We start from the raw sequence: 13847 nt of genomic DNA on the forward strand, positions 1-13847 counted from the left end.
TGAGAGACCAGGCCCTGGGGCCATGTATCTGAAAGCTGCATAAAAATGAAGAGTTTGTGCAGAAATTTTAAGGCACAAAAGATGGGCCTTGGTGTGACAGAAGGCAGAGAAATAGAACAAAGAAGACTCCTATTTAAAGAGTATCACTGGCAGTGTTCAGTAACAATACAATCCCATCAAGTAAACTGTACAGAACATCAGGTTTTAAGGACCTACATTTTTTATGACTGAATATAAAATGAATTCAATTTTTAAAACTTCAGATCCAAAGGTACTATGGGATTCTCCGTCCTTTTCTCTGATACTTCTGTAGTGTCAATATACAAAAGAGACATAGTTTAAGGGATTTAAAGAGTATCCTTGTACCTTAAAAATCAGTCTGATCTGCAATTGCCTTGCTGTTATGTATTCTTATTGCAGAAACTGGAGACCTTTGTACAGTTTTCACTTCAGAGTACTTTTAAGTCTTTTCCTAAAGTGAAATGTGTGTTTGTAGTGTATATTTGGCAGGAAGGACAGGAAAGCAGATAAAGCTTTTCATATACTTGATACTGTGACAATTTGAGTTTCGTTCACCTATAATAAGATGGCTAAATTTCACAATAAATAATAGCTGTACTGTCTTTTAATCAACAGGGCTCCATGCTTGTTTATCCAGCTGGTATATATGTACATGCCAAAAAGTCACCAGTCTTGCTGAAACAGGAGAGTTCCCAGATCCTCCTCACAGGACATGTGACAGGGGTGTGGCTCATCTGTTCTCTCATCGCCACTGCTGAAACCCCTGATGGGAGGGGGAATACGCAGACAGACGGGTGTAGGAGCCCAAATGGGCATGTGCTACAGTGTGTCCTTTTAGTCTTGTTGTCTGTGCATGGCTTGAGTGTTAACCAGCTCAGTGGACCCTCTGTCTTTCTGCAAGGCAGAGGACCAGTGTGACAGTTTTCTGTATCCTGAACTCTTGTCTCGTGTCCTAGAAGAAAAGGGTCACACATGGACTTGAAGGATGAATGTGGGAGTTTTATTGAGTGGTGGAAGTAGCTCTCATCAGGATGGATGGGGAGCCAGAAGTGGGGATGGAGTGGGAAGATGATCTTCCCCTGGAGTTTGGCCATCCAGCGGCCAAACTCCTCTCTGACCGCCCCCAGTCAAATTCCTCTCAGTGTTCAGACATTCCTCCTCCTCTCTTTCTCTGCTATGTCATTCCATGGTTCATTTGCTTATCTCCTCGTCTGTTTGTCTGCTTCTGGAGCCTGGGGTTCAGGTTTATATGGGTACAGGACAGTGGGCGTGGCAGGCCAAAAGGCAACTTTTTGAGCACGAAAACAGGAATGCCTGTCCCCATTTAGGGCCATGGGTCTCCAGGCTTGAGGGTGGGGCCTTTGTCGGGGAACCACCCTCTTCTACCCAGTATTGTCCTGCATCCTGTCTGTATCATTGCTATATATTAACCATGTAGACTTTATCAAATATCCTTTAAGATTATAGGTAAATGGATGCTGTGATATGAGATAACTGGGATGGACAAGAGGTTTTCCAGCAATGTTCAGGATTATTCTGAGCTCAGTTGTGATTTTATTTTTTTTCTTCTTTTTGTTTAAAGATGTATCAAGGGCACTTGAAAACAAGAATTGTAAAATCCAACTATTTGTGATGTCACTACTCTAAAGAGATCAGAAATCATTCTTCCCACTTCTTACAAGTAGTCTCAACAAGATGTGTCTTCTCTAGAAAAGGTATACAACTTCTCAGTTTGCGAGTGTCCCCCAGTGGCCAAGTGCTATGAATAGAACAGGTGGACAGACTGGCTAATCTGCTTGAGTCCTTATGGGTTCAATACCTGATTCAATTCTATATTCAAAGTGTAGTGGTTCATTATTTAAGTTTCAGATCACCTCACAATGAGTTCACAACAATAAAATATTAGAAAGTAATACTTTCATCATTTAGCTAAGGTTGTAGAGCAACACACTAACCTAAAATCTAAGGAAAGGCAGGCACCTCCAAAGACAGATGGAAAGTAAGAACTTGCTGACCTGAAGTAGACGCTGCTGGGCAAATAAATAGAATTTAGCTAAAATATTTAAAGAATCAGGCTAACCAGAAAATACATAACTCCTGTGACCTGCAGACACAAGGAGAACTTGCATCCACTTGTAGGCTTGTCTCCAAAGACCTTGTCACATGTTCAGAAAAACAACTGTGAAGATACTAAGAAAACCTCTCTTGAGATGGAGTTCTTGGAAGGGGGCAGCTCCTGCTGGAAAAGCACACAACCCTATCTGGATCTTTCTCTCCTATCTCTCCTGGAATCAAAGGCCTTAAATTGTTGAAGGAAGTAAAACAAATCCTCCCTGCCTTGGGGAGGGGAAGGGGGCTGGGCGGGGCTGTTGAAAATCAACTGTATTTAAGGAGTGGGAATAGAAAAAAAAACTCTCTACCACTAGAGGAGAGGCTGGAACAAGTACTGGGCCCAGATCATTAAAGGTTTCCTCAGAGACATCCTGAGAAGTCCTACTCCTGTGACCCAGAACTCAGTGCCTGTCTAAGTCTGCAGCTTTATCAAAACAACAGAAAATACTGCCCCCACCACCCACCTCAGTCCCCCAACCACCACCCCCCTCCACACACACATCTACCGCCATGCAACTAAAGCTGAACTATCCGTCAAGGAACAACAGCGCGCTTAAAGAAAAGGAGCAAGACCTTGAAGAGAGAAGCTCTCTGAGAAGATATAAAGCAGAGGTGGGGCAAACATTCAAAAAACAACCTCTGGTAAACCAGCCCTTACTCTAAGATTGAAAGCTGGTGTTGCACAAAAAAGTTACCATAGCAACAACAAAATGTGACTATAGCCCAATTTCTGACTTAACTGACTCAACTTCCCCTTATACAAAAGGGCTAGCAAAAGGAAAGTTACTACACTATTTCCAGGCATAAAAATTGTTTATCTCAGTCTTTGCTATCCTAGATGTGGTGTCCAAATGCCAACAAAAAACTAAGAGGCATTAGACAAAGCAAATAAAAAACAACAAATTGTCAAGAAACAAAGCAAAAATATACCCACTCTCAGATAGGATAGATGTTGAAAATATCAGACTAGGAATTAAAAATAACTATGGTTAATATATAAAAGGCTTTAGTGGAAAAATTAGACAACATGCAAAGCCAGATAGGTAATTTCAGTAACAGAACTGAAACTGCAACAAAAAATCAAGTGGAAATCCAAGAAATTAAAATATAATAGAGATGAAGAATGCCTTCAATAGGCTCAGCAATAGACTTGATGCAGAGAAGAGAATAAATGAAATTTAAGATAAGTAAGATAAGTCAATAGGAATTAACCAAAAGAAAAAAAAAGACACAAAGGGAATGATGGGTGAAACAATAAGTGAGCAGAGCATCTGAGAGTAATGAAACAATATCAAACAGTTTAAAATGTGTGCAATTAAAATACCAAAAAGAGAAGAAGATAGGACAAAAAAAAATTAAGAAACAATGGGAAAAAATTTTTCTGAGTTAATGACAAACTCCAAACTATAGATCCAAGATGCTCAGAGAACATCAAGCATGATAAACACAAAAAAGAAACAGAAAGTAACTAGGCATGTTGAAAACCAGAAACAAAGAGAAAATCTTGAACACAACCAGGGGCAGGGAAAAAAAAGATACATTATGTACAGAACAACAAATATAAGTTATGATTGCGCCAGATTTCTCATCAGAAATAATGCAAGAAAGAAAAACACTGAGTGGCATCTTAGGTGCCAAAAGAAAAACTGTTAATTCTTAATTCTATATCTAGTGAAATATCAGTCAAAAATAAAGGAGAAATAAAACCTTCCTGAAAGAAATAAACTCAGAGAGAATTCATGGCCAGCAGAAATGCATTATACTAAATTTTAAGAGAGTTCTTCAGGCAAAGGTATATGATACCAGTCAGAAACCTGGATATACAGAAAGAAATAAATAGCACTAGAAATGGAATATGGATATAAAATTATTTTTTATTTTTAATTGGTTCTAAGAGATAACTGACTGCCTAAAGCAAAAATAGTAGCAATGTATTGTATGTATTGTATGTATGTATAAAAACTTATAGTATGTGTAAAAATAAAATGTATGACAACAGTACAATGAGAATAAAGGATTGAGAGTATATTGTTATAAAGTTCTTACAGTACATGTTAAGTGCCATAATATACTCCTTGACTATTTAAAGATGAATACTAAAAATGTTAGAGAAACCACTAAAATAGTTTATGAAAAAGAACAAATAATGAGGCAATAGTGGTTAAAAACTGAATCATAAAAAAATGCTCAATCTAAAATAAGGCAGAAAAAATAAGAAAAAACAAATAGAAAACAACCAGCAAAATGGTAGATTTTAACTAATCATCTCAATAATTACATTATATGTAAAGGGTCTAAATATATCAAGTTAAAAGGCAAATTTATTATACTTGATAAAAGAGTACAACACAACTTATTTTTGTCTGTAAGATATCTTAAATATAAAGGCATAGAGGGGTTAAAGTAAAAGATTTATTGTGTAAGCACTATAAAAAGAAAGATTGAGTACCTACATTAATATCTGCCAAAGCTAACTTTATAACAAGGAATCTTGCCAGGGATGAACAGAAACATTAGAAAATGATAAAGAGGTCAACTCTTCAAGAAAAGGTACTAATCCAAAACATAATAATCCAAATATTTATGCATTTAACAACACGGTTTCAAAATACATAAGGTAAAAACCAATAGAAATGAAAGGAAAAATAGATGAATTCACAATTACAGTTGAAAATTTTAATTCTCCTTTCTTGGTAATTGAAGAAATAAGTAGACAAAGGATATAGAAACCTAATACCAACTTAGCCTCACTGATATTTTGTACAACACTCCACCCAATTACAACAGAATACACATGATTTTCAAGAGTACAGGAAACATTCACCAAGATAGGCCATATTTTGGGTTATAAAAAAAACTTAGCATATACAAAAAAATTAAATAAATATATTCTCAAACATCATATAATCAAATAAATGCACATAAAAAAATGAATCTACCTACTAACTTGGAAATAATTTTTTAATACTAAAATACAATTTTGGAAAAAACTGCTGGAATAGACACACTCATGCACAGCTAATGGGAGTGTATATTGGCACGATTATTCAAGAGAATATTAGGCAATTTATTATAAACCTTAAATTTTGCATAATTTGACTTAGAAATTTACCTTGTAAAAGTGTACACTAAACAAATCATAATGTGCACATATATGTATAAGAATTTTCCTGCAGTATTATCTATAATAGTTAAAATCAGAAGTAATTTAAATATGCAACCATATATAAACTCATTTAACAAATACATATTCAGTGACCACTATGTACCAAAAGCCATTCTAGGCACTGGACAGTAGGAAGTAAGACAAATCAAGTTCCCTACTTCCACATATTTTCTATGCTAGTGGAGAGACAAACCATTAAAAACTAAACAATAAATATATAATTTCTGGTAGCAATAAGAAAATTTATGAAGTTGGTAAGTAAATTTTGGTATATTTATACAATGGCATGCTATGTAGCCATTAAAATAATATTGAAGCAAACAAAATAAGCAAACAAAAATAATGACATGAGAAGATGTTGCCAATATATCACAATTTGTAATGTGCACTATAAGATATATGTAAACTGAATAATACCATATTGGTCACAGAAAAAAGTACAGTATTAGAAAAATAATGTAAGAATATACCCTACAAAGTTAATAATCTTTCAACTGTGGATGTTCTTCCTTTGAGCTCTTTGTTTTCCAAGTTTTCTGAGGTGTATATTACTCTTGTAATTTTAAAAAAAACATGAAGTTTTTTAAAAATGAGGTTAGGCAATAAAAGGAAGCAGAAAAATAATAATAGAGGCAGACATTTTTGTGCCAGTGGTCCTTTTTTTTTTTTTCTTGTTTTAGGACAGGGGAAATTTCATAAAATGAATAGGTTCAGGAAAAAGAGTAAGTATATAAGGAGATGGTAAAAGATGCAAGAGAGAGTGGTTGTTTAGACAAAGTCCAAAAAAAAGATTGAGGTTATGGGGTCCCAGGCACAGAAAGTAAACCAACTTTGAAAAGGAAAAGGAACACATCTTTCTTTGAAACAAAAACAATTAGAAGATGAATAAAACTGCAAAGACAGTTTAGAAGATGCATAAAAATACAAAGACAGTTTAGAAAGAAACACATTTGGGAATCTTCATAACAGATATATTCAATGTTCTTTTTTTTTTTTTTTTTTTTTTTTTTTGAGACAGATTCTCACTCTGTCACCAGGGCTGGAGTGCAGTGGCACAATCTCAGCTCAGCTCACTGCAACCTCCACTTCCCTAGTTCAAGGGATTCTCCTGCCTCAGCTTCCCGAATGGCTGGGACTACAGGTGCTCACCACCACGCCCAGCTAATTTTTGTATTTTTAGTAGAGACAGGGTTTCACCATGTTGGCCAGGATGGTCTTGATCTCTTGACCTTGTGATCTGCCCGCCTCGGCCTCCCAAAGTGCTGGGATTACAGGCGTGAGCCACCATGCCATGCCTCAATGTTCTTATTTAACAGGTAAGCAATTTTTTTTGCTCACAGTTAAAAGATCAGGAACCAGTAAACACACTTGACAAAGCAAAAAAGCATTGAATGGCTGTTGGGAACTGGTGCTTGGTGTTGCAAAAATCAACACTGAGACAAAGGATCTCTCAGCAAGGCTAGTTTACTTTCTGCAGAAAGGGTGCTGCTTGCTAGCAGTCTTGCCACGAGAACACACATGAACAAAGGAGACAGGGTCATTTATAACCTGAGACGTCCACCCTACTGCTGTGTCTGGTTTCCACTGGCTAGAATGGGACCTCATATTCTGTACTCAACCCAATTGGCTAGCAACTTAGAACTTCCCAAAAGAGGCAAAGACAGAGGAGAACAAAGGAAGAGAGGAAGTAATTTGTGGAATGCTGACAGAGGCAAAAGCACTTCCAAATAAGGAAGAAGAATAGGCTATGACCTAATGCTTGCTTGGACTGGTTCAGGCATGCCAAGGCAAATATCTAGGCTAAAATGTGGGAGCTAAGAACACACAGTGTATTGATTTCTTTATTATGGCTAGCAGATATTTAAGAATATTAGCACAATTCTTTGAGTAAATTTTGCTTCCAAGAGAGGTTACTATCTATTCTCAATTAGACTGGGAGGAAAGTTTCTTTGAAGAGGAACCTCTACTTATTTCATTTTCTACAATTCCCCCCTCTTTTATTTTATAATTCCTCTTCAAACCTGTATACTATGTCTTGACTCAACTGCTGTTTGTCCTTCTAAGAGAAGTAATCTTTCCGAATAGGGTGGAGAAGAGTTAGGAAATCATTTTGTGAGAGTAGCAGAGACAAATTTTTGTATAAAACTTTGAAGACAGGGAATAATACAGCAGCCTACAAGAATAAGTACACCAATAACAAGAGCAAACGAGGTGAGAACTAAAGTCAAAATTCCTTTCCATCCACTGAACCAATGTTCTATTATTTTAGAAAAAAGATCATTTATTTCAGAATTTTTGGCAAGTTCATCGGAGAGGGCTGTTAATCTCTGCAGTGTTCTGGTTATAGTTCCGTCAGGGGTAGTATTATTAGGTATAAAGCTACAACATTGGGTCACAATCATAACACAAATACCTCCTTTTTCCCCCAATATCATATCTAAGGATATTCCATTTTCCCAGGCCATCTGACTGGTAGGTCCTAATTGTTTAGCTATCCCTTTAATGGCATCCATAGTGTAATTTACGAATCGTTGCTGATTGTAATAGATATAGTTTATCCAGTCTACATTTTTATTAATAGTTACCCACCAGAATAACATACACTCAAATCCTGCAGCTGTTTGATTTTGCGCTTTGAATTTATCTGGCACTCCTCATGGAACCCCAATAGCATCTTTATAAACTTGAGAATCAAAGGACTTATAAGGAATTTCTTTTGGCTTATGACATTTTGTTTTTACTTTACCAGACTGTTGAGATGCCAGGGTGAAAGGGATAGCAGAACTGGAGCACAAGTTCTGCTCCAGTTACTTGGCAGAGTGTCCAGTAAAAGTCTACCACAATACCACCATACATCTGCTTGGCAATGGCTAAGCGTGGACTGATGGGCAAGCTCCTGGAAAGGCTTGAGCTCCTTGCATCCTTTTATGCCTCCAAGGAACATCAAATTTTCCCCTTGCTGTGAGAGGCACAAAGTAAACTTGGCATTTAGAGGTGGAAGTTGGATTGCCCTCGGGGGCTGACCTACAGGGTGTTGAACTTCAGGAAACAGCAGAGAGAGCTCAGCATGATGGATTATCCCAAGCAGTGGGATTCTGAAAGACAGTCACCATACAGTCTGTACCTGGTCAATGAGGAGACCATCCGAGTGGAAAGGTGACAATCTGAGCCTCTGGCCTATCGTGAGCACAAGCGTAACAATCACTCTTATTTAAAGTGTGAATGGGATATTTATTCCATTCCAGCCGGGCATTTGCATTTTGATATTCTGTCTCAATGGCTAAGGTTTGTCTTAGATCTTTTACCTTCCTAATAGACACCCTGGTTTTATTATTAGGTGTAGAAGCAACCAGTGTGGGATCTAAAACTGAAGCTACTGAAGAAGGGGAAGATGGGGGAATATTGCATATCTTAAAAATGCCTAGGGGGTCTTTCCCATTTACATCAATCCCCATACCATATAAGCAACTAAGGGCAGGTCTAGAGTCAGTTAAGGTGGAGGTGCTGATAGAGAGAAAGACTGAGAAGGGGTAGTCCCTTTAGTGAAATAGATGAGGGGTTTTAGATCTGCACAAACCTCTTCCTTAGAAGTCCAACCTTGCTCCTGAGTAGTCCAAAGGATGTAGTCCCATCTACTACAAGGTTGCCAGGCTGTAGGAGCAGAAAATTGGCATCTCAGCTACAGGTGATCACAACGATGAGTGCTAGGAGTAACTGTGTCAGTTAGAGGGCTGGGGCATAAATATTTGTGTGAAAAGGCTAGCTATTATTGATCCTTCACATCTCCACAAGGTATGACGTAGCAAGCATCAAAAGCAATGGTCTGAGGTGAGTCAGACTTAGTTACATTAATAACAAAGGAGCTAGTAACAGAATAAGGAAAGGAAAGGAAGCAATATACAAGGTTATGAAAATTAAGCTTTCTTTAATTTTAACTTGGTAGGACTCGATCCTGGTATAGTAACCCATGATTCTGATGAGGAAGATGATTTCTTGACTGAAGTATGGTGGGTCCATCATTTCTCAGCTGTGCAGACGGCAATCTCAGTGGTTAAGAGCACAAGATAGGGGCCTACTCAGGTGGGCTCAAGTTTCCCTTCCTTCCACCCTTTGATGAGAACATGGTCCCTGGGTTGGTGCTGGTGTGCTGGAAATTCTAGTGATGGCACCTGTGCTAAGAGACCTTTGATCTTAAGAGAAAAAAAGGTAGAGGAGAGACCAAGTATGTAATTTCTGAGGAACTGATCCTTAGTTTCAAACATAGGAACATTAGCTAGGAATGTAAATAGGGCAATCCATATAACATTTCATATGGAGACAGGCCTATATCCTTTCGAGGAGCTATCCTGATCCTCAATAAGACAATGGGAAGACATTTGGTCCATGGTAAATGAGTCTCTAGAATTAATTTAGTCAGATTATTCTTAAGGGTTTGATTCATTCTTTCTACTCACCTGGAGGATGAGGGATGCCAGGGAATATGGTATTCCCATTTTATGTCTAGCACTTGGGCCAGCTTCTTAATAATATGTGTCATAAAATGGTTTCCATTGTCTGAGTTAATATTCTCTATTAACACAAGGGGCAGTATATTCTCAATTAATGCTTTAATTACATTATTAGCTGTTCCATTTGGAAAGGAGATAGCTTCGATCCAGTGAGTGAGATGATCTACTATTACTAATAAATACTTCAGGCGACCGATTGGAGGCACTTCGGTGTAATCAACTTGAACACTTTGGAATGGTCTTAGCTCCAGATCTCATCCTCCAAGGGGTGATTTTCTTAGGGCTTGTTTATTAGTTTTCCTGCATGTTAGACAATTGTCTGTGACCTGTTTGACTAGGGTATAAATTCCAATACACTTATAAACTCTGAGAACCGTAGTTAAGACCTCCCTTATGAGAGGTTTGGATAATATCTCCCTTTGATCTGGTAATATCCATTTTCCTTTTGTGTTCTCTTTAGCTCCTATTTTTATTAGGTTTTCTTTTTCAGTGGAAGAGAAGATGGGGACTACAGTAGGGGAAGGAAGGCAAGGAGTTAAGTGAAAGACATTTCAGAAGAAACAGCAGTTTGTTTGGCTATCTGATCTGCAAAGTCATTTGGTTATTTCCCCAACTTGTGAAAAAAAAAAAAGTCCTTTTTATGCCCTGGGACATGTACAATAGCTAACTCTTCTGGCAACTGGAGATTGTCTAGAACACAAACAATTAGTTCTTTGTGGACTAGATCTTGGTCTTTACCGTTAATAAGACCTTGCTCAGCCCAAAATTTTTCTAACTGTATGTGCTGCACCAAAGGCATACTTAGAATCAGTATAAGCAGTTCCTTCTTTGTTCTGCAAGTGTTTCAAAGCTTGGCTGAATGCAAACAGTTCACAGGTTGGGGCAGACTAATTATTGGGCAGTCTTCCTGACTCTACTTCTTCAAGAGTTTCTCCACCAAGGATTGAAAACCTGTTATGTTTTTCTCCTTTGACTATTTTGGAGGAACCATCTATAAATGAGTGTTGCCCTGTTTTAAAAGGGGCCTCTCCTAGATCTGGCCTGACTTTTGTTTGGTAGTCAATCAAACCTAGACACAAGTGTTCTTTTTTTTTTTTTTTTTTTTTAAGATTTGGGTCTCCTGACAAGAAACCTGCTGGGTTGAGTGAATTATCAGTAGTCAAGATGAAATCATCTTTTCCTAGCAAAATAGCCTTATATTTTAAGATTCTGGAGTCAGTAAGCTACCTTCCTGCTTTTTGATTTACAATAGCTCTAACTTGGTGGGGCATGCTTACAATTAATTTCCCCCCAAAAGGTTAATTTTCTACCTTCTTCAACTAATACTGCTGTAGCCACAGCTCTTTATTTTCCCTGTTTTACTCGGAATATTTCCTATCTTGAAGGTTTGGGGTGGTGCCTAACTAGAATAGGCCTTTTTCCTGGAGCTTTCAACCCCCCTTGCTGGAGGTTTCTAGCACTCCTGGGTGCACAGAAGGGGGCTCAACCTCTTCTACTAGAGGCTTCTCATCCTCCCTTCCTCTGGAGGCTTGCCAAGGGCCTTTTCCCATGTTTGATCCTAGATAAGTCCAATCCCACATACTAGGGATGTCTTACCTATCTTTCTCCCGGGGAGGCCCAATCCCCCAGATCCTTCAGACTGGAGATTTCTCACCTGTCCAGTCTTTAAAAGCTTGCTAAAAGACTCAATCTCTCAAACCAGAGATGTCTCGCTGATTCTCTTTCCCAAGAGGTTAACCTTCCTCCCTCTCCCTTTTGGAGGTCCCTTACATTGTTTCCGTCTGTGTTCACACATTCTGCCGAACAGCAGGACTCGTAGCACAGATAATCATTCACACATACACACAATTACTCATCCTCCAAAAGCTGACCACCAAGGAAGTACTTTGCCCCCCTCTTGCGGCTTTTCCTACCTTGGCCCACGCACGGAGTCACCTGGTCACCACGGTCCCACAAGCCTCTCTCTTTCCCCGCCGATGCTGAGACTCCAAGTATATTCCTCACACCAGGTAGGTCCCGGCTCTCCTGCTGGGGCCGCGGCAACAACGGGTGGCAGGGCACCTCCCCATGAGAGAGGGGCAAACACCATCCAAGAGGGGAATGTTATTCCCCATACGGGCCACCAAATTGTTGGGAACTAGTGCTCGGTGTTGCAAAAATCAACACTGAGACAAAGAATCTCTCAGCAAGGCTAGTTTACTTTCTGCAGAAAGGGTGCTGCTTGCTAGCAGTCTTGCCAGGAAAGCACACACGAACAAAGGAGACAGGGTCATTTATAACCTGACATGTCCACCCTACTGCTGTGTCCGATTTCCATTGGCTGGAACGGGACCTTACATTCTGTACTTGACCCAACTGGCTAGCAACTTAGAACTTCCCAAAAGAGGCAAAGGCAGAGGAAAACAAAGGAAGAGAGGAAGTAACTTGTGGAATGCTGAGAGAGGCAAAAACACTTCCAAATAAGGAAGAGGAATAGGCTATGACCTAATGCTTGCTTGGATTGGTTCAGGGATGCCAGGGCAAATATCTAGGCTAAAATGTGGGAGCTAAGAACACAGAGTATATTGGTTTCTTTATTACAGCTAGCAGATGTTTAAGAATATTAGCACAATTCTTTGAGTAAATTTTGCTTCTAAGAGAGGTTACTATCTATTCTCAATTAGACTGGGAGGAAAGTCCCTTTGAAGAGGAACCTCTACTTATTTTATTTTCTACAATGACCAAAATTAGATAAATTATTTTTGCTCCATAACATTCATTATTTTCTAACATACCATATGTTTAACCTACTTATGGTTTATTCTCTTAGAAAGTAATCTCCATCAGAAAGTAATCTCCACAAGGGCCGGGATTTTTGTCTGTTTGTTCACTATTGTATCATCAGCATCAAATTTTCTATCATTAACATTAAAACAGTGCCTGGTACACAGAAGATGCCTGGCACACAGGAGATGCTCAATAATTCTATGTTACAAAGTATGTTTGTTATATAAATCAGTTACCTAATTTAAGATGACCAACTTCTCTTGGATACAATATGAAATATTACAATCCCAACTTCTCTTGGGATACAATATGAAAATATATGACATTTTCATTATCTTTTCCCTTAACTGAATCCTCAAATTCCTAATTTTCATGTTTTCCCAGGAGAAGAATGTAAATGTTATTCTATCTTTCAACTGACAGCTTTTATTTACATTTTCAACGTTGGTTGCTTGCAAATAAAGAAAATTTAACTTAATTTCTTCATTTTTTCCATTAAGTAGTTGACTTTACAATCCCAATAATGCAAAGAAATTTTACATAAGACCATAACATTTAAAATTTACTAGAATGGTATTTATACACTGCCACCAAGTTGACCACAGAAAATCCCACGGGAGAACCAAGAAACACAAAGACACCACAGTCAGATATTTGACAGAGTTAATGTTGAATTAGATCTGGCCCCGTAAATAATAACTACGGACAATTGGATAGTTGGCTAATGGAACCAAAACATTACCTTTACTACTATTGAAAGCTCCAGTAGAGGTATGGGGCAGTAATGGACTTCCTCATTGTGAACTGCAGAAATGAGCAGACTAACCCCACGCAGTCACTGGCAGCACTGGATAAACGGCTAGACTTCCCCATTCAGAGCCTTTGGGTAAGAGACGATACCTGGTACAACACAGGGGAGCAGGCTTCGGTTTGCACATCCTTAGAAGTGCGCACTTCCAAGATGACTGGAAGGAGCAGAAACAGGCATGCCCAGTTCCTCCTCTCCTATCCCTTAATATGATCGAGTCCTTCTTCCTTGCTCAGGGAGGAGCCAGTGAGAAGTAAAGGATACCGTAAGTGTTACAAGAAAAGTCTTCCTCCAGGAAACTAGAGGAGCTGAAAATGAAGATTGTTCCTTACAGGGATCCTGAGCCTTGCCTCTGAGAACATCAGTGTGGCCTTTTTAAAGAATATTTGGAAGGAGAAAGGGCCCTCTCTCTGGGCTGATGTTTGAGATCATGGTATGGAGGTAGAGTGGAGGCCTGCAGTTTACA

General features: G+C 38.7%; 1 long non-coding RNA gene across 3 annotated transcripts in view, besides 1 other annotated feature; it reads right to left on the reverse strand.

The window, feature by feature from the left end:
- Positions 1-13847, reverse strand: part of LOC151760 (putative uncharacterized protein) — a 183623-nt gene that overhangs the window by 69638 nt on the left and 100138 nt on the right. The window contains exon 1 of one of the 3 annotated variants that reach the window (XR_924329.3): positions 11721-12055. The exons of the other annotated variants lie outside the window; for them this stretch is intronic. This is a non-coding gene — a long non-coding RNA (putative uncharacterized protein LOC151760). Of the gene's footprint in view, positions 1-11720; positions 12056-13847 lie in introns of those variants that run through there. 3 annotated transcript variants of the gene reach the window in all.
- Positions 6746-7945: an enhancer, noted in NCBI's record as "P300/CBP strongly-dependent group 1 enhancer chr3:110683374-110684573 (GRCh37/hg19 assembly coordinates)". NCBI's record gives its function as "activates an origin of replication core promoter dependent on BRD2, BRD4, P300/CBP, MED14 and CDK7 cofactors, with strong dependence on P300/CBP, by STARR-seq in HCT116 cells {active_cell/tissue: HCT116}" and the evidence as "EXISTENCE:reporter gene assay evidence [ECO:0000049][PMID:35650434]".

The sequence above is a fragment of the Homo sapiens genome, chromosome 3, assembly GCF_000001405.40.
Source record: "Homo sapiens chromosome 3, GRCh38.p14 Primary Assembly".
In the NCBI taxonomy this organism is placed as follows: Eukaryota; Metazoa; Chordata; class Mammalia; order Primates; family Hominidae; genus Homo; species Homo sapiens.